Here is a 22822-nt window from a genome sequence, read left to right as displayed (position 1 = left end):
TGAGGTGGGAGGAATCCTTGAACCCAAGAGTTCAAGGCTGAAGTGGGCTATGATCACACCACTGCATTCCAGCCTGGGCGACAGAGCAAGACCCCATCTCCAGAAGAAAAAGGCATCTCGGGTTTGGGCCCACCATGCTGGGTTTGGTGGATGAAAGTAGTAGCTGATTCCTGAGCAGAAGATAGCACTGCCCAGACAGGGCAGTGAGGCACTCACCTTGATGTACTGCAAGTCCACGAGTGCCCGGACGCTGAAGTCAGAGATGTACTGGCCCAGGACAGAGCTGCCAAACTGGTTGCTGCTGCCTGCCAAGGTTGCTGCAGTTGAGACGTCTGTGCGGTCTGGGTAACTGAGGGAGGCTGAGCGGCTGAGTGGGGTGGGGTGTGCTGGGGAACGGTCTGCAGGGAGAGCAGAGGTTGTCATGCCAAAGGCCACTCCGATGCCCACTCTCACCCTCATGTCTCACCTCATCCCATGGAAGCCCAGGGACACCCCACCCAGGAACAGGAAGTCATTCTTAGGGACAAACAGAAGCATGTAGAAGGTCTGACTGCATAAGGTCTGACTTCGTTAAAGCAAATGAATTAGTTTGTTTAGAACTATTGTGCAACAAGTATTAAAAAGTCTACCAAAACAAATCAACCAAACAGAAAATAAAAACCACAGACTTAGAAAGTTTATGGCTACAAAATCTCTCGTTTCCCACAACAACCAATCAGTCAAGGGCAACACAATGATCATCCTAGCAGGACAGGCAAACTGCCATTCTTAGGCTGGGCACAGTGGTTCACATTTGTAATCCCAGCACTTTGGGAGGCCGAGGCAGGAGGATGACCTGAGGTCAGAGTTGGAGACTAGGCTGGCCAACATGGTGAAACCCCATCTCTACTAAAAATACAGAAATTAGCCAGGCATGGTGGCAAACACCTGTAATCCCGGCTACTTGGGAGGCTGAGGCAGGAGAATCGCTTGAACCTGGGAGGTGGATATTGCAGTGAGCCAAGCTGGCACCACTGCACTCCAGCTTGGGTGACAGAGCAAGACTCTGTCTCAAAACAAACAAGCAAACTGCCATCCTTGTCTCAATACCAGCTTGTATCAAGTGACATAAACTGCATACTTTTAAATAAAAAATATGCATTAAAAGGAAGAATGTATAGTTTGCACTCTCTCTCTGTGAATACACACCCCACACATAAGATGCCCCGTCACACCTTTTCTTTGGAGACAGAGTCTTACTCTGTCACCCAGGCTGGAGTGCAGTGGCATGATTTTGGCTCACTGCAACCTCCGCCTCCCAGGTTTAAGCAATTCTGCTGCCTCAGCCTCCTGAGTAGCTGGGATTACAGGTGCCCAACACCACGCCTGGATAATTTTTTTTCTTTTTCTTGTTTTTTTGGTTTTGTTTTGTTTTTGTTTTTGTTTTTTTGAGATGGAGTCTTACTCTGTCACCCAGGCGCATTCCACCATGCCTAGCTAATTTTTTTTTTGTATTTTTAGTAGAGACGGGGTTTCACTGTGTTAGCCAGGATGGTCTCGATCTTATGACTGCTGGTGATCCGCCTGCCTCAACCTCGCAAAGTGCTGGGATTACAGACAGGTGTGAGCCACTATGGCCCTGCCAGCCCTGTCACCTCTTAAATGCTCTTATCAGGGGCTGGGCGAGGTGGCTCACACCTGTAAGCACCTTAGGAGGCCGATGCGGGCAGATTGCTTGAGCCGGAGTTCAAGACCAGCCTGGGCAACACAGCAAAACCGCATCTCTACAAAAAATACAAAAATTAGCCAGGCGTGGTGGCTTTTACCTGTGGCCCCAGCTCCTTGGGTGGCTGAGGTGGGAGGGTCACCTGAGCCTGGGAGGCGGAGGTTGTAACGAGCCGAGATTGTACCACTACACTCTGTCCACCCGCCGAACACCCAAAAAAGAAAATGCTTTTATGGAGTCAAAAGTGTGTTTTGCACACAACCTACTCAGCGTGAAACACAGTCCTACCCACTTCCACCTGCAACCCAGCCAGCCTGGCCGGGGCGGGTCAGGGTGACAGGCGCTTCTCCCCTCTCATGAGGCAGAGTTGTAACAATCTCGAATCTCGAATAAGAGTTGTAACAATCTTGAATAAGGAAGAATGGGCTTCTTATTTTGAAAAAGAAACTGCTTTTTCAAATGATATACGTTACTGTATATCATTAACTTGTTTTTGAGAACACAGGAAACCATGAAACGCACAAAGAAGTTAATTGTGAAGACATGCAGGATGGTTTTAAACAAACAGGAAGCGGACTAAGCTGATTTGCTTATTTAACTATTAAGTTACTAAGTTAGCCATTCTAACAAATTGCCAAGTGAAGAGAACAAACATACTGAATCTAGTGACTCAATGACCAATACAATTTTTAACTAAGGGCGCGCGCGCGCGCGCGCGTGTGTGTGTGTGTGTGTGTGTGTGTGTGTTGGATAGCTAGGGAAGGAAGAAGAGTAGAGATGAAGAACAAAGGGGAAAATAAAAATTAAATGAGACAAAAGAGGGACCTGGTAAGGTCTTAGTGGGTCGTGAACTGAGGATAATCATTAATTCAACTCTGAACCCAAGATCTAATTAAATAAAAAAAAAAGAGAGAGAAGTCTGAGTTCAAGTCTTTATGACTGACGTTATCAAAAGTGGTTTCATGTTTATGTAGCTCTGTATTTTGTAGATTTGAGAACATTTTAGCTGGAAAGCTAGTAATTTCATGTTCCTAAAACATCTAATTATTTTCATAAAACTGAAAAGAAGGTGTCAGCCCCCCGCCCGGCCAGCCGCCCCGTCCGGGAGGGCGGTGGGGGGGTCAGCCCCCCGCCCGGCCAGCCGCCCCCTCCGGGAGGGAGGTTGGGGGGGGTCAGCCCCCCTGCCCGGCCAGCCGCCCCGTCCGGGAGGTGAGGGGCGCCTCTGCCCGGCCGCCCCTACTGGGAAGTGAGGAGCCCCTCTGCCCGGCCACCACCCCGTCTGGGAGGTGTACCCAACAGCTCATTGAGAACGGGCCAGGATGACAATGGTGGCTTTGTGGAATAGAAAGGCGGGAAAGGTGGGGAAAAGATTGAGAAATCGGATGGTTGCCGTGTCTGTGTGGAAAGAAGTAGACATGGGAGACTTTTCATTTTGTTCTACACTAAGAAAAATTCCTCTGCCTTGGGATCCTGTTGATCTGTGACCTTACCCCCAACCCTGTGCTCTCTGAAACATGTGCTGTGTCCACTCAGGGTTAAATGGATTAAGGGCGGTGCAAGATGTGCTTTGTTAAACAGATGCTTGAAGGCAGCATGCTCGTTAAGAGTCATCACCAATCCCTAATCTCAAGTAATCAGGGACACAAACACTGCGGAAGGCCGCAGGGTCCTCTGCCTAGGAAAACCAGAGACCTTTGTTCACTTGTTTATCTGCTGACCTTCCCTCCACTATTGTCCCATGACCCTGCCAAATACCCCTCTGTGAGAAACACCCAAGAATTATCAATAAAAAAATAAATTTAAAAAAAAATAATAAAAAAAAAAAAAAAAAAAAACTGAAAAGAAGCCAGGGTATAACAACAGAGACTAAACTGAGTAATACTCTATCTTTGTGCTTAAGTAAAGCTTTGATTTTTATTTATAAAACTAGGAAACTACAGTTTCCTAGTTTACAGTTTATAGTTTATAGTTTCTCAGGAAACTGGCCATTCTATGATGAGGTTGTGGTATTCCCATGCAAGAACAGGAAATATTTTAGAGGATCATTAGAGGATCAAGTGCAAGTATCTAATGAGTAACATCTCTGATTAAGTTCTAGGAAAAGCAGAAATACTAGGGGTATTACTTAATACTTCACATAGCTATCTGAATGATGGAATGCTTTTAATTAATGCTAACACTCTAGAAACAGGAACTGAATTTTATTTTTAAAATAAACAATTTATTTTCTTTTTCAACTGAATTTATTTTATTATTATTATTTTTTAAAGGGTCTTGCTATGTTACCTCGGCTGGTTTGAAACTCCTGGGCTCAAGCGATCCTCCTGCCTCAGCCTCCCAAAGTGCTAGGATTACAGGAATGAGCCACCAAGCCTGGCCAAGAGACTGAATTTAAAACCAACACAAATTAGTGACATGGGCAGAGTGCGGTGGCTCACACCCGTAATCCCAGCACTTTGGGAGGCTGAGGCGGGCGGATCACCTAACATCAGGAGTTCAAGACCAGCCTGGCCAATATGGCAAAACCCTGTTTCTACTAAAAATACAAAATTTGGCCAGGCACGGTGGCTCACGCCTGTAATCCCAGCACGTTGGGAGGCCGAGGCGGGTGGATCACGAGGTCAGGAGTTCAAGACCAGCCTGGCCAACATGGTGAAACTCCGTCTCTACTAAAGATACAAAAAATTAGCCAAGGGTGGTGGTGCATGCCTGTAATCCCAGCTACTCAGGAGGCTGAGGCAGGAAAGTCACTTGAACCTGGGAGGTGGAGGTTGCAGTGAGCTGAAATCGCGCCATTGCACTCCAGCCTGGGCGACAGGGTCAAGACTCCATCTCAAAAAAAAAAAAATACAAAACTTAGCTGGGGGTTCCTGGCGCACGCCTGTAGTCCCAGCTACTCGGGAAGCTGAGGCAGGAGAATCACTTGAACCCGGGAAGTGGAGGTTGCAGGGAGCCAAGATCGCACCACTGCACTCCAGCCTGGGCGTCGCAGCAAGACTCCATCTCAAAAAAAAAAAAAAAAAAAAATTAGTGACGTGACCTATTAAGATTAGAGGTCCGGCCAGGTGCAGTGGTTCATGCCTGTAATCCCAGTGCTTTGAGAGGCTGAGGTGGGGGAAGTCTAGGAGTTTGAGACCAGCCTGGACAACATAGTGAGACCCCCATCTCTACAAAAAGTTAAAAAAAAAATTGCCCAGCATGGTGGCACCTGCCTGTAGTCCCAGCTACTTGGGAGGCTGAGGTGGGAGGGTCACTTGAGCCCATGAGGTTGAGGCTGCAGTGAGCTATGATTGCACCACTGCTCTCCAGCCTAGGTGACAGAGAAAGAACGTGTCTCTTAAAACAAACAAACAAAAAAACAGAGGTCCTAGAAAAAATTCACCAAAATCCATTTTGTCTCTGAGAGATGAAATTATGATACTTTTTAATTTTTTCAAGACTTTTTTCTATTTTCCCAATAAGCTACCTTACTTTTATGAGTAAAGCAAAAAATAAATAAAACAAAAACTGCAAGGTTTTTTTTTTTTTAGACAGAGTTTCGCTCTTGTTGCCCAGGCTAGAGCGCAATGGCACGATCTCAGCTCACTGCAACCTCCGCCTCCTGGGTTCAAGCGATTCTCTTGCCTCAGCCTCCCAAGTAGCTGGGATTACAGGCACCTGCCACCACGCCCGGCTAATTTTTGTATTTTTAGTAGAGATGGGGTTTCACCATGTTGGCCAAGGCTGGTCTCGAACTCCCGACCTCAGGCAATCCACGCACCTCGGCCTCCCAAAGTGTTGGGATTACAGGCATGAGCCACCGCGCACGGCCAACTGCAAGGTTTTGACCTGGTAATTTCATTGTTGAAAGGATATCCTAAGGACATAACCTTAAACACAGGGAAAGTTTTTTGCTTTTTTGCATAAAAAAGTTTATATCATGGTATTGTTTATAATAAAGACCCCCATGAATATGCATAAAGCGTAAAGTGGAGAATTAATCAATGAGGGCACACCTGCTCTCAGGATTCAAACCACAGGTGCATCACCTCCCGGCCATCCATGAAACCAGAGCAAGCCCAGAGGAGGGGAGGGAGGCTGAGGTCACACTGGGGAGGTTTGAAAGGGACAGGGAGTAACTGCTTCTAAGTCACCTTTTCATCTACTTATTTATTTATTAAACAGAGGGTCAAAATAGCAGAGTATACCTTGGAACAGTTCAGATGGAAGAAGGCCCAGCTGTACAAATGTAAAATGGATATCCCCGGGCTGAGGTGACGGGTTTTTAGGGCAGTTGGGGTGTGAGGAGCTGAAAGATGCTGGTGCTGCTCCTGATGGGCACAGGCCACACCTGATGAGACCAGCACCGTCCTGTGCCCTCTGCGGCCTGGTTGCACACGGGAATCCCAGCAAGCCTCAAGCTGAATGAGTCTGACCCTATTCCCACCGACTCCCCGGACAGGCATCAGGAGCATGACACATCCAAGGCCAGAAGCAGCATATGGCACTGGCCTTTCCTGAAAGACTTTCTGGTTGGAACACCACATTTTCATTGTAATCAGGAAAAAACAGAAATAATAATAATTGAGCTCTAACTCAACATTTTACATGAATTCTCTCACGTACTCTCCTGATAACTCTTATGAAGGGGGTACACGCATTGTTCCCATTTCACAGAGGGGAAAGCAGAAACAAAGACTATCATTTAGCCAGCAACTGTGGAGGTGGCTCTTGACTAGGCAGTCTGACCCGGGGCCATGCCCCTCATGGCCTCGCAGTTGCCTACTGGGCCAGCAGCTGAACGGGAAGCAAAGCTTGTGAAGAAAATCGGAAAGTCTTTTAGAGAAAGCTGATGAGATGACAAGTCACCCTGACACGGTGTGTGGGTGGCCTGGAGCAGGAAGTGCTTACCCGCTGGGGTGCGTCTCCTCTTGGCCGTGGAGGGCAGCAGGCTGGCCGGTGCTCACTTGGCTGGGCCAGGAGCAACCCTCCACTCCCAGCCTATCCTCTGGGTGTGCATGTGTGTGTGTCTGTGGTTGTGTTTCTGTGTGTATGTGTCTATGGATGTGTGTTTCAGTGTGTGGTATCTGTGTGTGTGTGTGTCTATGGGTGTATCTGTGTGTGTCTGTGTGTGGTATCTGTGTGTCTCTGTGTTTGTGTGTCTATGGGTGTATCTGTGTATATATACCTGTGTGTCTGTGTGTCTATGGATGTGTATCTGTGTGTGTCTGTGTGTGTGCCTATGGGTGGGTGCTTCTGTGTGTGTGTGTGTCCATGGGTGTGTGTCTGTGTGTGTCTCTTTGTGTGTGTGCCTATGGGTGTGTGCCTATGGGTGTGTGTTTGTGTGTCTATGAGTGGTGTATCTATGTGTGTATGTGTATCCTGGTGTGTCTACGGGTGTTTCTCTGTGTATGCCTCTGTGGCATCTGTGTGTCTATGGGTGTATCTGCATGTGTGTTTCTGTGTGTGATATCTCTGTCTATGGGTGTCTGTAGTATCTCTGTCTGTGTGTGTGTCTGGGTGTGTGGTCTCTGGGTGTGTGTGGTCTCTGCATGTGTGTGGTCTCTCTGCGTGTGTGTGGTCTCTCTGCGTGTGGTCTCTGTGTGTGTGTGTGTGTGGTCTCTCTGCATGTGTGTGGTCTCTCTGCGTGTGGTCTCTGTGTGTGGTCTCTGTGTGTGTGGTCTCTCTGTGTGTGTGCTATCTCTGTGTGTGGTCTCTGTGTGTGTGTGGTCTCTCTGTGTGTGTGCTATCTCTGTGTGTGGTCTCTCTCTGTGTGTGGTCTCTGTGTGTGTGTGGTCTCTCTCTGTGTGTGCGGTCTCTCTGCATGTGGTCTCTCACTGTGTGTGTCTCTGCGTGTATCTATGGCTATGTGTATCTGTATGTGTATCTCTCTGTGTGTCTCTGTGTGTATGTGTCTATGAGTGTGTGATCTCAAGCACCAAGAGATCTTTGGGGGCCCCTTCTAGAGCTGAGGCAGCAAAGCTGCCTAGAAATTGGGCCCCAGCCAAGCAGAGCCACTGAGGTCTGGCGGCCCACATTGAGCAGGCGGGGGTCCGGGTCCATGTGGGGAGGTTAATGCAGCTGCAGTGTGCAGGCACAGGCAGCAGGTGGCAGCGTGACCCTCAGCTGTGCCACGTTACCTGTGAGCCAGCAGAGCAGGGAGTTCCGCTTGCCAGGCGGACACCCGACCTGGACTGAAGGCACTGGAGCAAAAGAGAAGGTCAGTGATGGGCGCAGTCAGGAGACAGGACACGGAACCACAGGCACAGGACAGAGGCAGACCTGACGGGGCCAGGCTGCTTTGGGCAGAGATGGGCCCAGTGGAGAAAGGGACATGGCTCTGCTGGGAAGGGTGCTCAGGGCACAGCGGTGAGCCCTGTGCGGAGACAGGCAGAAGCTGGCTGAGTGTGCCCAGTCATCTCCCCTCTCTTCTGGCCACACCAAGTGGGAACAGAGAGACTATGGGTCAACGGACAGAGCCTGGGCCCTAACCGGGCCTCTGAGGCTTCACTGCACAAACAGTGCCTGGGGGAAGCCTCCCGTGCCTGCCCGCCCTTCTGAATGAGATTTCCTCAAACTGAACAGAGAACAGCTGCTCTTGGAGGCACAGGAAGTCATCCCCAGGCCTGAGGCATCTGATAGGGTTAACCTGCTCAGAGCCCCGCTCTGGGGCCCTGTCTGTCCCCTGCCCAGGGAGCCTGCCATGCCCCACTCATCTGGTGGAGGGGCCGAGGACATGGTGGATAAGCCAAGCTGGGTGTCAGTATTCATGGGTGCCCTACCCCCGTTCCCCCTCGGGGTCCTTTTTGTCAAAGGACAGTGAGAGGCACAGCACAGAGGTTCTCTGGGAGCTGCAGCTCGTACCCCACTGGCGTGGCCTGTTCTCCAGCACCAAAGTGGACTTTCTCTCTCTACCCTGCAGCAACCTCGCCCCAGGACCGAAGCCTGGAGAGGAGCGAGGAGATGAGCTGGCGAGACCTGGGCCTGCGGGGCCTTGTCTGTGGGGCTCTGCGGGGAAAGCCTGAGCCACTCAGCACAGGAGAGGGCACTGGGGCGGCCAGAGTGGCGCATCCCCGGACCTTCCATAACACCTCTCGGAGGGTGCCCAGTCTCCCTTCTGTCTGTCCCCAAGGCCCTTTATTCCATCGGAGCTGACCTCTAACCAAAACCCAGTAGCCGCGTCCTCCGAAAAGCCAAACCCATCTGCAGCCTGCCCTGGCAAACAGGCCCTGGCCTGGCTCCTGACCCCAGTCACTTTGGATGCTCAGACTCCCCTCCTGTCCTCAGGAGCAGGGCCCTGGGCCTTCCTCCCCACAGGCCTCCTCTCCAAGCAGGCTGGTCTCCTCACAACCTCTGGACATGCCCTCCGCTGCCTCCAGGCCTTTACTCTAAAATCCCTCACTCCTCTTTTCCCCTCCAGCTTCTGGACCCCATCCAAAGTGGCAGCTCCCTCTGCTCTTCCACACCACCCGCTCCAGGCCCTGGCGGCTCCCGCCTCACCAGCCTCCCTCTGCCCCAGCCAGCTGGCTATGAGCTCTCGGGCCCATGCTCAGTTCTGGTGTCGGTCCATGGCTCCCCAGCTGCAGGGGGGCCAAAGGGCAGCAAAGACCATGCCCAACAACTCACCGGAGGGGACCGAGGTCAGGGCCATAGTCCCATAGTAGGAGAAGGCGCCCGTCTCAAACTTCATGTTCTCCTTCCCTGCCTCCACCTCCACCTTCCCCTGAAAAAACACAGGGCTGGAGTTAGAGACCAAGTGAGGGAGGAAACAAAGGATGAGGCAGGATGGGGAGTGAGGAACAAGGGACAGTGGGGCAGGAGGAAGGGCCGGTACTGGAGCCCTGGAGAGCTCAGGGGCCTGACCTGTGAGATCAAGAGTGGCCTCTCAGGGAGAGGATGGCCACGTGGGGCAGGCGGGGCTCAAGGGCAGGCAGCAGGCTCCCCAGGCAGGGAAGCCATGCACCTCCGCAGCAGGTGGGAGAGAGGGCCTGGGGGTTGCTGCAGTGCCAGGGGGAGCAGGTGGCAGGCCCAGGGCTGAGCGGGCTCACCTGCAGGATGAGGATGAAGTAGTCGGCCGGCTTATTTCGGGTGTACAGGTAATGGCGGGCGTAGTACTTATTGTGCTCGTCAAACTTGAGTTCCTGAATGACATCTGGGTACTTGAGTAGCCGCAGCAGGATCTTCTCTGATATCAGGGAGGGGCTAAACTGAGAGACCTCTGTAGGAGGAGAGAGAAGAGACCTCACACGGGGCTGGCCAGGTGGCCCTAAAGCTCGATCACTGCTGTGCCTCCACCCCAACCACAGCAGCCACGCTGTGCTCAGACGACTCCCGCCCTGCTCGGCCGGCCCTCGTTCTGCACCTCCCTGGGGAGGGAGCACGCTTGGCTTCTGACTGGTTGGATACAAGGCTGCCTGCCTGCCTGGGCTTGAACAGTGGCTCCTGCAAGAACAGCACATGACCTTGGGCAAATTACTTAACCTGCATCTCAGTTTCCTCATCTGTAATATGGGGGTAAAAGCTTCACAGGGTGGTTGTGAGGGTGAATGGGATAGCACATGGACAGCACTTAGTATATATGTGCTGTCCATATATACTAAAATATATAGACTATAATTATTGCATCAGCATCAATATCCCACAGGAAAAATAATGGAGAGGGAATTGCCACCCCTTTAGCAAGTAAGGGGTGGGAAGGAAGATGAATTGGGCCAGGGGAAGAGGGGGACAGAGCGGGCAGAGCAGAACCTGTCACCCAAGTCCCCAGTGGAGCTTTGAATCAGGGCTGAAAAGAGAGAAATGTCTCTGAACTAGAAGTGAATTCCTGCGGGAACCAGCACACGTCTGCAAAGGGGAGAGCTGGAGAGTAAGAGCAGAGCTGGATGCAAGCTCCTCAGAGTGGGTGAGCACACGAGGGGTCCAGCCACACCCAGCAGGCCTGCAGAAGGGGAAGCGTCCCTTCTCCTTCCCATTCCACAAGCCCTGATGGGCCTGGCCAGCCTAGGGGCCCACCTCAGTGGTTATTTTCTTTTTTGTTATTTTTGAGACAGAATCTTGTTCTGTGGCCCAGGCTGAGTGCAGTGGTGCATTCACAACTTACTGCAGCTTCAAACTCCTGGGCTCAAGCGGTCCTCCCACATCAGCCTCCTGAGTAGCTGGGACCACAGACATGCAACTGTCCCACCTCATAGCCTCCCAAGTAGCTGGGACTACAGGAGGGCACCACCATGCCTGGCTTTTGTATTTTTTGTAGAGATGGGGTCTCGCCATGTTGCTCAGGCTGGTCTCGAACTCCTGGGCTCATGCAATCCTCCTGCCTCGGCCTCCCAAAGTGCTGGGATTACAGGTATAAGCCATAGTGCCTAGTCATTATTTCCCAAACTATTAAATATAGTAACTTGGATGCTTCCTAGAAGTTTGCAGTAGCCGCCCATTAATGGCAAATGAATCGCAGGGAGATCCCCAGGGGTGGAGCAGATACCCGGCCCCTTCCAGGGGTGGCTGTGTTGTCTCTGCACCCCTCACCTGCTGCAGCCCTCGTCCTATGGGGGGAAAGCAGCCGGAAACCCAGGACTTCTCCCCCGTGACCGTATTTCCACCAAGACCGGAAGGTCCTCCTCATGCTACCTGTGGCTAGGAAGCGATGAGCGGCCAGGAGGAGCTGCGGGGAGATTTTCACTTTGAGCTCATTGTCCGCATCCTTGAAGGCAGAGAAGTCACGCTTGTTCTTCTCAGACACCCGCTTCCGGCTTCGGTTGTCAGCTGCCGGAAGAAGAGCGTGGAATTGAGAACACAGACCCCTGAGGACTTAGGAAGAGACTGGAACCCGCCCCGCAGCTCCTGCTCTCCAGCCCCTAGTCCCACGCAGGAGCAGCAGGCTCTGGCTGGCAGGGTCCTGGGCTGACGCCGAGGCACAAAGGCCGAGGGTGAAGGCAGCCTCCGGGCACTGCTCTCAGCAACCTGCTCCCTGCTCACCCCGGCCAGTGCAGGGCACCCAGCCACTGGGCCTCTGGATGCTAGGCCTCCTGTGTCCCTGCACTATGGCCCTTCCAGCTAGGGACACCAAGTTTCGATCCAAGCAGGAAAGGGGTCCTGGGCCCTGTGGAAGGCTGGACTCACTGTACATGTCGGACTCGTCCAGGATCTCCGACTTGATGATCTCCTCGATCACGTCCTCCAGGGTGACCAGGCCCAGGACCTCGTAGAAGGGGTCACCCTCACCCTCGTTGTTTACCTTCTGCACGATGGCCAGGTGGGACTTCCCTGTGGGACAATGCAGCAAGTCAGACAAGAGCCCAGAGGCCAGTCATGAGACTCCCTCAACCAAAACATTAACTCTAGACGTAGGGTCATAAGTCACCAGGATGGGGTCATGGTGGTTTTTATCTTTTCCATCTTTCCTGACGTTTCTACTGCAAACAGACATTGCTTTTATGAAAAGGAAAACTAAAAGTAATTTTTAAAAGCATGTCGTTAAGGACCACTTTTTTGTTTTTCTCTGTTTTTGTGGAGGAAGGACAGGGTCTAGCTCTGTTACCCAGGCTGGAGTGCAGTGGCGCAATCATAGCTCACTGCAGCCGCCAACTTCTGGGCTCAAGAGATCCTCCCACCTCAGCCTCCCGAGTAGCTGAGACCACAGGTGTGCTCCACCATGCCTGGCTAACTCTTTTATTTTTTGTAGAGATGGATCTCGCTATGTTGCTCAAGCTGGTCTCAAACTCCTGGGCTCAAGCAGTCCTCCCATCTCAGCCTCCCAAAGTGCTGGGAATACAGGAATGAGCCACCACGCCAGGCCAGGACTACTTGTTTAAATCGGATAAAAATGGCAATGCTGGGAGCAATGGCTCACATCTGTAATCCCAGCACCTTGGACGGGCTGAAGCGGGCAGATTGCTTGAGGCCAGGAGTTTGAGACCAGCCTGGCCAACACGGTAAAACCCCATCTCTACTAAAAATACAAAAATCAGCTAGGTGTGGTAGTACACACCTGTAGTCCCAGCTACTCGGAAGGCTGAGGCAGGAGAATTGCTTGAACCCGGGAGGCAGAGGTTGCAGTGAGCCGAGATCACGCCACTGCACTCCAGCCTGGGCAACAGAGCAAGACTCTGTCTCAAAAAAAAAAAAAAAAAAAAAAAAAAAAAAAGACCCTGTCTGGTATCACTTATCAGGGGCTTCTGGAACTCTTGGGGAGGGGAAAGACCCAAACTGACAAGGGCACAGAGAGGCCGAGCACTGTGATTAGGTGGGGCAGAGACTACAATTAGAGAGGGGCCACCCCCTCAACCCAAAGTGAGGGAAGGAGGCTGGCATGGGGCAGGACCCTCCACAGAAACCCTGTGGGGTGGTGGGTCTTCCCAGACCCCTTTTTGAAGGCCACACCCTGTTCTTATGGCCCCAGCCCCATGAGTGGCAAGAGGGTCCAGCCAAGAAGGGCTAGGTCCACAGTCTAGGTGGAATGAGTCCTGTGTGCCATACCCCACTCGCAGGAACACAGGTTTGGAGCAGCCTAGGAAGAAAGGCCCCCGGAAATCTGGGAAGGTCAAGTCAGGGTCTTCTGCATGGCTTCCCCTTCACAATCCAAGGGCCTCGCTCTAGGGACTAAAGAACTCATCCTAAATACCCTCGGTGGAGGATGTTTTCCAGGTCTTTAAGGCCACAGAAAATCCCCCAGCCCAAGATGGGCTGTTAAGAACTTCTAAGGGCCTCTTAGGGAGAGCAGAGAGAATGTGAGGTCTCATGACTAAAGTAAAAATTCTCACAATACACCCCATGTGATGGGGGGGGGGGTACTGCATTGTGAAAGTTTTTCACACACATGCCAGGGGCTATGATATATGTATTTCCCACTACAGGTTCTGGTCAAAAAACATTTAGCGTCTTGCTAGACAAAGCCATGGCTGGACTCGATTGAAAATACCCCAGTATCTTCCTAGAGATGAGCCAACAAGTTCAAGAGATCTGTGAGGCCCTCCAGCAGGGCGGCAGCGGGCCAGGCCGGGACCCTGGGGTCCGCCCCCAGGCCTCTGTGCCTGCTGGAGGCTGTCCATACAGGAGTGCCCTCCAGAAAGACAGTGCCTGGAAGGGCCTGGGCATCTAGCTAAACCATGTCACCACATGGGGATGGGAATTAAAGCAAGGCAGCTTTGACAGGCTGAGTATCCCTTATTCCTCACTGGGGATCAGAAGTGTTTCAGATTTCAGATTTTTTTGGATTTTGGAATATTTGCAGAATACACGCCATTGGGCATCCCAAATCTGAAAATCTGAACTACAAAATGCTCCAATGAGCATTTCTTTTGAGCATCATGTTGGTACTCAAAAAGTTTTGGATTTTGGAGCATTTGGGATTTTGGATTTTTGGATTCGGGATGCCCAACCTGTACCCCCTTCCAGATGGGCACCCTCTAAAAAGCCTGGTAATGCCCAGTTATGGTGGAGGATGGGGAAGACAAACAGGCCCTCACATGTATCTGGTTGGTGGCCAGGTAAAAGGGTACATTTCAGGGGGCCAGTTGGTCAGGATGTCACAAAATCAAGGGTTCCTAACCTTGGACTTAGAAGGTCCACTTCTAGGAACTCACCCTAGGGAGAGGCAACCTTCACAAAAGACACAAGAGAAGGGGGCTCTTGGCAACATTCTTTTTAACAGCCCCAAACCAGAAACAACCTAAAGCAATAGCAATAGGGCACAGGGACTCAAAAGGGGCCACAGCTACTCAAGGGAGAACACGGCAGAGGTGGATGAATAAAGCGCGGAACGAAATCCAAGATACGCTATTAGTGAAAGAGCAAGTCACGGAACAGAATGCATGGAGCCATCTGCCTTCACAGAAACAAAGGCGTGTGTGGGCTTGAACTGCCCTGGAAGCGTCCAGAAGTAGTAAGAGTGGTCACCTTTGGGGGTATTTGGAGTTTGGGGAGGAGGCTATTTTGCCTCTCTATATACCCTTCTATACTGTTATATTTGATGGGCATGTTTTACTTTTATAATTTAAAAACAAAACTGAGACAAAATTAAGGGGGAAAACAAAATTAAGGAGAACAAAGGGAAACTGGTGAGAGTCTCTAGGGTGGACAAGGGCCCTCTGTGCTTTTTACTGCCACAGATCGAGCCCCAGGGAATGGGGGTGTGTTCTTTGACAAGGTTCAGTGAGCAGAACCTTGTTCAGACCCCCAAAGTCAGAAAACAACCTCTCCACTACATTCACATCCCTAATTACTCCACAGGCTCAGACCAAATCCTGACCAACGAAAGGTTCCCTCACAGTGAAAGGCTGCTGGCCTCTCTCTGTTTTTATTTTTTTTGAGACAGACTCTCACTGTGTAGCCTAGGCTGGAGTGGCCCAGGCTGGAGTACAGTGGTACAATCTCAGCTCACTGCAACCTTCACCTCCCAGGTTCAAGCGATTCTCCTGCCTCAGCCTCCTGAGTAGCTGGGTGTGCGCCACCATACCCAGCTAATTTTGCATTTTTAGTAGAGACGGGGTTTCGCCAGGTTGGCCAGGCTGGTCTCGAACTCCTGACCTCAAGTGATCATTCTGCCTTGGCCTCCCAGGGTGCTGGGATTACAGATGTCAGCCACCGCGCCCGGCCTGGCAGCCTCTCTTATAGTGGAAACAGCCCTCCTGCGGATGAAATGAGCTGATTCCCTGAGCAGGGTCTTGATACCATTCTCCGCCCCCCGCCTCCTCTCTGAGACCCCTTGGCGGGATCCACTGCTGTGTGTGTGCACCCTCGGGTGGCAGCCAGCTGCATGACAGGCACCTTGTAGGTGTACAGCCCTGAGCACCATGTACACGTTCACCCCTCCTCTGCAAGCTGAGCTTTGGGCACTGCCTGATGGCTGGCCAACTGGGGTTCCGTACAGAGGTTCCAGCCTAAGGGGCCAGTCAGTCACCCTCTGCAGGGTGAGCTTTGGGCCCCTGGGCTGTTTTTCCTATTTTCTAATTTGTCTGTCCAGAGGGGACATCTTTTTGTCCTGGTAGAATTTTCCCCTCCCCGGGCCAGAGAGCCTCTGGTCAAGGTCACCAATGACCTTTCATGGTGGAGTGTTATTCTCAGATGACCTGCTGACCAACGGTGACTCCCTCCTTTCCCCTGGAAGCCCTTTCTGCCCAGGGCTTCCAGGGCACAGCCCTCCCAGTGCTCCTGACCTCAGGAGTCACTGCTTCTCCCTGACCACTTAAATGCTGGAGAGACTCAGAACTCAGTCTGTACACCTGGTCCCTTGCCTAGCAACTTTAAATACAAGTGTACAAGTGTCCCAAATAAATCTCTGCAGCCCTGTCCTCTCCCGTGCCCTCCAGATTCCTCTATCCAAGTGCTGCCTGACGTCACTAATACCTTGAAATTAACGCAGCCAAAACCCAGCTCATGCCCATCCCCCCAACACTCCTGTCTCCCTTTAGGGCAGCTCTGTCCCAGTTATCAGGCCCATGGGACGGTGAGCCTGACCTCCTCTCTTTTTTTTTTGAGATGTAGTCTTGCTCTGTCGCCAGGCTGGAGTACAGTGGCGCGATCTCAGCTCACTGCAACCTCCACCTAGCAGGTTCAAGGGATTCTCCTGCCTCAGCCTGCCAAGTAGCTGGGATTACAGGCGCCCGCCACCACACCCAGCTAATTTTTTGTATTTTTAGTAGAGATGGGGTTTCACCATGTTGGTCAGGCTGGTCACGAACTCCTGACCTCAGGTGATCCACCCTCCTCGGCCTCCCAGAGTGCTGGGATTACAGGTGTGAGCCACCGTGACCAGTCCCTCCTGTCTTTCTTTGTGCCTCTACATCCATTTAGCAGGAGGAGAAAAGTAACCAGTGAGGGGAAGGGGAGCGGGGAAGGGGAAGGGAGGCCGAAGATGGAAAGAATTATTTTAGATTTTACTAATTTAGAAGTTTCTATACTTCGGAAATTATTGCTAACTGATTTAACATCTAAAATAAGCAGATCAATTTAGGGCTTATATTTAGGATTCTCATTGTATAAATTCTAATAAAATTGTATTTTTGTGTGTGTGTGGTTTTTTTTTTTTTTTTGAGCTGGAGTCTCACTCTGTCACCCAGGCTGGAGTGCAGTGGCGTGATCTCAGCTCACTGCAATCTCCACCTCACAGGTTCCAGTGATTCTCCCACCTCAGTCTGCCTGATTACAGGCACCTGCCACCACACTCGGCTAATTTTTTGTATTTTTAGTAGAGATGGGGTTTCACCATGTTGGCCAGGCTACTCTCCTGCTCCTGATCTCAAGTGTTCAGCCCACCTCGGCCTCCCAAAGTGCTGAGATTTCAGGCGCAGAATTGCTTGAACCCAGGAGGTGGAGGTTGTAGTGAGGCAAGATCATGCCACTGCACTCCAGCCTGGGCAACAGAGCGAGTGACTCCATCTCAAAGAAAAAAAGAAATTAATACTATTGATTATGAAAAATTTGGAATTTTTTATATAGGAAAATATAAAAAGAAAACAGAAAATAGAAACCATCCTGAATCCCCCATATGTAGATTAAGCCACATGAATTGCTGGTTTTGGTAAAATATAATTGAATATCAGCAATTTTATATGGCTCAAGCAAATACTAACATTTTGCTATATTTCCTCAGTCATTTTTCATTGACTAAGGACTACTTTGAAAAATGTGGATTTTTAGCTGTAGATGTATTGTTTTAATTTCCATGTTTCTTTCTTTTTTTTTTTTTTGAGACGGAGTCTTTCTCTTTTGCCCAGGCTCAAGTGCAGTGGATTCTTCTGCCTCAGCCTCCTGACTAGCTGGGATTACAGGCGCCCGCCACCACACCCAGCTAATTTTTTGTATTTTTAGTAGAGACGGAATTTCACCATGTTGGCCAGGCTGGTCTCGAGCTCCTGACCTCAGGTGATCCACCCACCTCAGCCTCCCTAAGTGCCGGGATTACAGGCATGAGCCACTGTACCCAGCCGATGCCACCCCCAAAATCTAATCAGCCAATTGAATGGACACCAATAATAACATAAGGTAGCTCATTAAAATACAATTTTACGGGCTGGGCGCTGTGGCTTACACCTGAAATCCCAGCACTTTGGGAGGCCATGGCAGGTGGATCACCAGCCTCCTGAGTAGCTGGGACTATAGGCATGCACCACCATGCCTGGCTAATTTTTGTATTTTAATTTTTTTTTTTTTTTTTTTGAGACAGAGTCTCACTCTGTTGTTCAGGCTGGAGTGCAGTGGTGCGATCTCAGCTTACTGCAACCTCCATCTCCCCGGATCAAGCAATTATCCTCTCTCAGCCTCCCGAGTAGCTGGGACTACAGGCACAGGCCACCATGCCCAGCTAATTTTTGTATTTTTAATAGAGACAGGGTTTCACCATACTGGCCAGGCTGGTCTCGAACTTCTGACCTCAGGTGATCCACCCGCCTCAACCTCCCAAAGTGCTGGGATTACAGACATGAGCCACTGTGCCCAGCTGGATTTTTGTATTTTTAGTAGAGATGAGATTTTATCATGTTCCCTAGGCTGGTCTCTAACTCCCAACCTCAAGTGATCCATCCGCCCACCTCGGCCTCCCAAAGTGCTGGGATTACAAGGGTGAGCCACCATGCCCAGCCAATAGTATTAATCTCATAATGAGAAAAAAAAAACACATCCATTAGGCCGGGCGCGGTGGCTCATGCCTGTAATCCCAGCACTTTGGGAGGCCGAGGCAGGCGGATCACCTGAGGTGGGGAGTTTGAGACCAGCCTGACCAACATGGAGAAACTCCATCTCTACTAAAAATACAAAATTAGCCAAGCATGGTGGCACATGCTTGTAATCCCAACTACTCGGGAGGCTGAGGCAGGAGAATCGCTTGAATCTGGGAGGTGGAGGTTGCAGTGCGCCGAGATCGTGCCATTGCACTCCAGCCTGGGCAACAAGAGTTAAACTCTGTCTCAAAAAAACAAATAAATAAACAAACAAAAAAACACATCCATCAAATTAACTTTAAAAAAAAATTCTAGGCCGGGTGCGGTGGCTCACGCCTGTAATCTCAGCACTTTGGGAGACCGAGGCGCGTGGATCACGAGGTCAGGAGATCGAGACCATCCTGGCTAACACGGTGAAACCCCATCTCTACTAAAAATACAAAAAATTAGCCGGGTGAGGTGGTGGACGCCTGTAGTCCCAGCTACTTGGGAGGCTGAGGCAGGAGAATGGCGTGAACCCGGGAGGCGGAGCCTGCAGTGAGCCGAGATCACGCCACTGCACTCCAGCCTGGGCAACAGCAAGACTCCGTCTCAAAAAAAAAAAAAAAAAAAAAAATTCTAGCCCGGGTGTGTTGGCTCACGCCTGTAATCCCAGCATTTTGGAGGGCCGGGGGCGGGGGGTGGGTGGATCACGAGGTCAGGAGTTCAAGACCAGCCTGACCAACATGGTGAAACACCGTCTCTACTAAAAATACAAAAATTAGCCAGGCGTGGTGGCGCGGGCCTGTAATCCCAGCTACTCAGGAGGCTGAGGCAGGAGAATCACTTGAACCTAGGAGGCGGAGGTTGCAGTGAGCCGAGATCGCACCACTGTACTCCAGCCTGGGCGACACAGACTCTGTCTCAAAAAAAAAAAAAATTAACTAATAAAATAAAATAAAATTCTAATACCGCTTCCTCTGGGACTTCAGGGTTCCTGAGCCTCCCCAAGCCCTTTCCAAGCACTGCAAGAAAGGGGGTCCAGAAAGAAGGTTCCTGGCACCCTGGCTGTCCCCACTGTCTTCTCCAGGCTTTGCCTGGCGGCATGCTTGCCCACTCTGCCCTCCAGCGACCTCTGTCCAGCAGCAGCCAGGTGGGACCGTGCCCTCCACAGTCAAAGAACACCATGTGAGGCCTCCAGAAACCCCGGAGGGCTGGGCAGACCACAGGTGCCAGCCTCAGCCTCCCTCACAGCTGGCACAAGGGCAAGGAGGATCCCAGCCCTGCCTGAGTCCCTCACAGCTCCTCCTGCTCCCCAGCCTCCGTGTCACCTCTTTATCCTTCTGCCCTGGGCTCAAACGTTAGCCCTGGGTGTTAGCCATGTTGTCTTTTAGGGCCCTGGATCCCGACCCATTTCTTCCCTTCACAGCTCTGTGCCATCGGCTGACCGGCGTCTATCTCCCACTGACCAGGCTGCAGCCTGGCGAGGCCTGAGTAGTGCCCTCGCTCCTCGCCATGCTACCCCAACCCCTCCCACTATGCCTAGCACAGCAGGTGCTCCACACCCCTGCTGGATACAGAAAGGATGGCCCCACCCTGCACAATGCCCATTTTAGCAAACTGCTGCGTCCTCCTTCCCCGCCCTCCATAAAAAAAGACTTTACAGCCCCTTGAAGTCCTTAAGAAAACCGTATTATAGGTGCTGGGTTACAAAGTCCACAGGGGCCATGAGAGGGCCCTACTCACCAGCTCCAGCTGCTTTTTCTCATGGGGAAAAGCCAGGGGCCCCAGAGCAGACCAGGGACTCCCACCACCCAAGAAGGAGTCCTCTGCATCTTACTCAATGAGTCTCCCAGGAAGGTCCAGCCTCTGAGATCCCAGGGGCCCAGGATGTTCCCGCGCTCTCAGGCCCTCCCATGGGAGAGGTGCGGGCTGGACTGACTGGAAGCCACAGGCTTGGGCCCTGGGTCCACACCTGCAGATAGCTGAGCACCCTGATTTCTTGGCGATTCTCTGCTCTTTCCTCCCTTCACCCAAGCTCCCGCAGGATTAAGCTGGCTATTAATAGTGCTGACCTCAACCACCGGGATGAGTGGCAGCCAGCCCAGCAAGAAGGCAGAGCCAGGGCAGGAGAGGAACCAGCCAGAGTGACAAGCCCCTGCCCTCTAGCCTCGGGGAGGGCAGCTGGGTTCATCCATAATCCTAAACAGGGCTCATCTATGTTGCTCCCTTCCTCCCAGAGACACAGCTGGCAGTCAGGGCAGTCAGTCCAGGCAAAGGCCAGAAGACCAGAAGGCTGCGGTGGCCCAGCAGGCAGGCCATACACTCTATACTCGCTAGACTCTGAGACAGAGTGAGACCCTGTCTCCAGAAAAAAAAAAAAAAAAAGATTACAGCGATTAAAACAGTGTAGTACTGGGCAGGGCACTGTGGCTCATGCCTGTAATCCCAGCACTTTGGGAGGCCAAAATGGGCGGATCACTTGAGGTCAGGAGTTCAAGACCAGCCTGGCCAACATGGTGAAGCCCCATCTCTACTAAAAATACAAAAATCAGTTAGGCATGGTGGCACAGGCCTGTAATCCCAGCTACTCAGCAGGCTGAGGCAGGAGAATCACTTGAACCTGGGAGGCTAAAGTTGTAGTGAGTTGAGATTGCACTACTGCACTCCAGCCTGGGCAACACAGCGAGACTCTGTCTCAAAAACAAGCAAACAAAACAAAAACAGTGCGGTACTGGAGAGAACAATGGACAGAAATATTTATTTTACTTCAATTTTTTTTAGACAGGGTCTCATTCTGTCACCCAGGCTGCAGTACAGTGGCACAATCACAGCTCACTGCAACTTTGACTTCCTGGGCTCAAGTGAACCTCCTACCTCAGCCTCCCAAGTAGCTGGGACTATAGGGCATGCCACTAAGCTCAGCTAATTTTTAAAAAAAATTTTGTAGAGATGAGGTTTCACTATGCTGCCCAGGCTGATCTCGAACTCCTGGGCTCAAGCGATCCTCCCACCATGGCCTCCCCAAATGCTGGGACTGTAGGCGTGAGTCACCATGCCTGGCTTATGGACAGAAATAAACTCCAACAAATTGGGAATACTGTATATAATAAATCTGGTATATTAAATTGCAGGAGAAAAGAGAGATTATTCAATGAAAGTTACTGGGCTAACTGGTCCAAAGTCACTGTTTTATACCAGACTTATAAATCCCTAAGAAAAACCACTAGCTTAATTTTAAATAGAAATACAATAAATACAAACAAAATATAAGGAAATACAAATTTTCAAAATGAACTCATTTTTTACCTATCATATTAGTCAAGATTTCAGAGATTGGTACTCTCAGTGTTGGCAGGAGAACTACCCACCGTTGGAAGTTCAATTTTTACTTCAGAAATTTGGCAGTATGTGCCAAAATGTAAAATATGCAAGACCTTGGACTCTGCCATTTCTCCCAACCCTAGGAAGTGACCTTAATACAAAGGAAACACCCAGGCCAGCATGCAAGGTGTGCCCAGGAGGGCCTGCCAATGTTATTTGTAACAATATTGCAGGGCTCTTAAAAAGGCTGACTCAGACATGAATTTATCTCAAGAGACGGTGATTCACTATTTGTGTAAAGTAAAAAGTTCCAAAACAGTAGAGTAGGAAGGACTGCTGGTTTCCTTCACTTTTGCTTAATGCATTTTATACTTCACATGCTATTTTTTATTTTTACTCTTCTAATTAGACACTATTTTCATATTGGGGGAGAAGCAATATCATTTGTTGCTGACTTGGTAGAAGAAAATACACCAAAATATCCACATTTTGGATGATGGGATAAGAGTGACTTTTTTTTTTTTTTTTTTTTTTTTTTGAGACAGAGTCTTGCTCTGTTACCCAGGATGGAGTGCAGTGGTGCGATCCCAGCTCACTGCAACCTCCGCTTCCCAAGTTCAAGCCATTCTCATGCCTCGGCCTCCCAAATAGCTGGGATTACAGGTGCCTGCCACCACGCTGAGCTAATTTTTTGTATTTTTTAGTAGACGGGGTTTCACCATGTTGGCCAGGTTGGTCTGGAACTCCTGACCTCAAGTGATCTGCCCACCTGGGCCTCCCAAAGTGCTGGGATTACAGGCATGAGCCACCGTACCTGGCCATGTGACTTTCATTTCTTAATCATTTTCCACTTTTCTAAGTTTCTCTAATACACTACTTTTTAAGAACTTTTTTTTTTTTTTTGAGACAGAGTCTTGCTCTGCCACCCAGGCTGGAGTGCAATAGCACGATCTTGGCTCACTGCAGCCTCTGCCTCCCAGGTTCAAGCAATTCTCCTGCCTCATCTCGAGTAGCTGGGATTACAGGAGCATGCCACCATTCCTGGCTAATTTTTGTGTTTTTAGTAGAGACGGGGTTTCGCCATGTTGGCCACGCTGGTTTCAAACTCCCTACCTCAGGTGATCCACCCACCTCAGCTTCCCAAAGTGCTGGGATTACAGACGTGAGCTGCCGCGCCAGG

General features: G+C 50.7%; 1 protein-coding gene and 1 non-coding gene across 9 annotated transcripts in view, besides 3 other annotated features; both read right to left on the bottom strand.

Annotated features, from left to right (window-relative positions):
* CNNM4 (cyclin and CBS domain divalent metal cation transport mediator 4) overlaps positions 1-22822 on the bottom strand; it is a 50973-nt gene that overhangs the window by 2916 nt on the left and 25235 nt on the right. For 2 of the 8 annotated variants that reach the window (XM_047443911.1, XM_005263914.5), the window contains exons 2-7: positions 11804-11947; positions 11312-11446; positions 9733-9902; positions 9311-9407; positions 7825-7887; positions 217-398 (exon numbers count right to left, since the gene is read on the bottom strand). In XM_047443911.1, the coding sequence (XP_047299867.1) occupies positions 217-398; positions 7825-7887; positions 9311-9407; positions 9733-9902; positions 11312-11446; positions 11804-11947 (791 nt within the window). Of the gene's footprint in view, positions 1-216; positions 399-1677; positions 1764-5892; positions 6214-7824; positions 7888-9310; positions 9408-9732; positions 9903-11311; positions 11447-11803; positions 11948-20293; positions 20370-22822 lie in introns of those variants that run through there. The other 6 variants (XM_005263915.5, NM_020184.4, XM_047443912.1 and 3 more) reach the window with 5 other exon arrangements.
* Positions 6507-6556: an enhancer, noted in NCBI's record as "active region_16232". NCBI's record gives its function as "activates an Ori minimal core promoter by ATAC-STARR-seq in GM12878 lymphoblastoid cells {active_cell/tissue: GM12878}" and the evidence as "EXISTENCE:reporter gene assay evidence [ECO:0000049][PMID:35858748]".
* Positions 7599-7678: an enhancer, noted in NCBI's record as "active region_16231". NCBI's record gives its function as "activates an Ori minimal core promoter by ATAC-STARR-seq in GM12878 lymphoblastoid cells {active_cell/tissue: GM12878}" and the evidence as "EXISTENCE:reporter gene assay evidence [ECO:0000049][PMID:35858748]".
* Positions 7919-8248: an enhancer, noted in NCBI's record as "active region_16230". NCBI's record gives its function as "activates an Ori minimal core promoter by ATAC-STARR-seq in GM12878 lymphoblastoid cells {active_cell/tissue: GM12878}" and the evidence as "EXISTENCE:reporter gene assay evidence [ECO:0000049][PMID:35858748]".
* MIR3127 (microRNA 3127) lies at positions 10606-10681 on the bottom strand. The gene has a single exon (NR_036074.1). It is a non-coding gene; the product is annotated as a microRNA 3127 (primary transcript).

The sequence above is a fragment of the Homo sapiens genome, chromosome 2 (genome assembly GCF_000001405.40).
Source record: "Homo sapiens chromosome 2, GRCh38.p14 Primary Assembly".
Lineage (NCBI taxonomy): Eukaryota > Metazoa > Chordata > Mammalia > Primates > Hominidae > Homo > Homo sapiens.
Note: the sequence above shows the minus strand (reverse complement) of the source record. Positions and strands in the feature narration are given on the sequence as shown.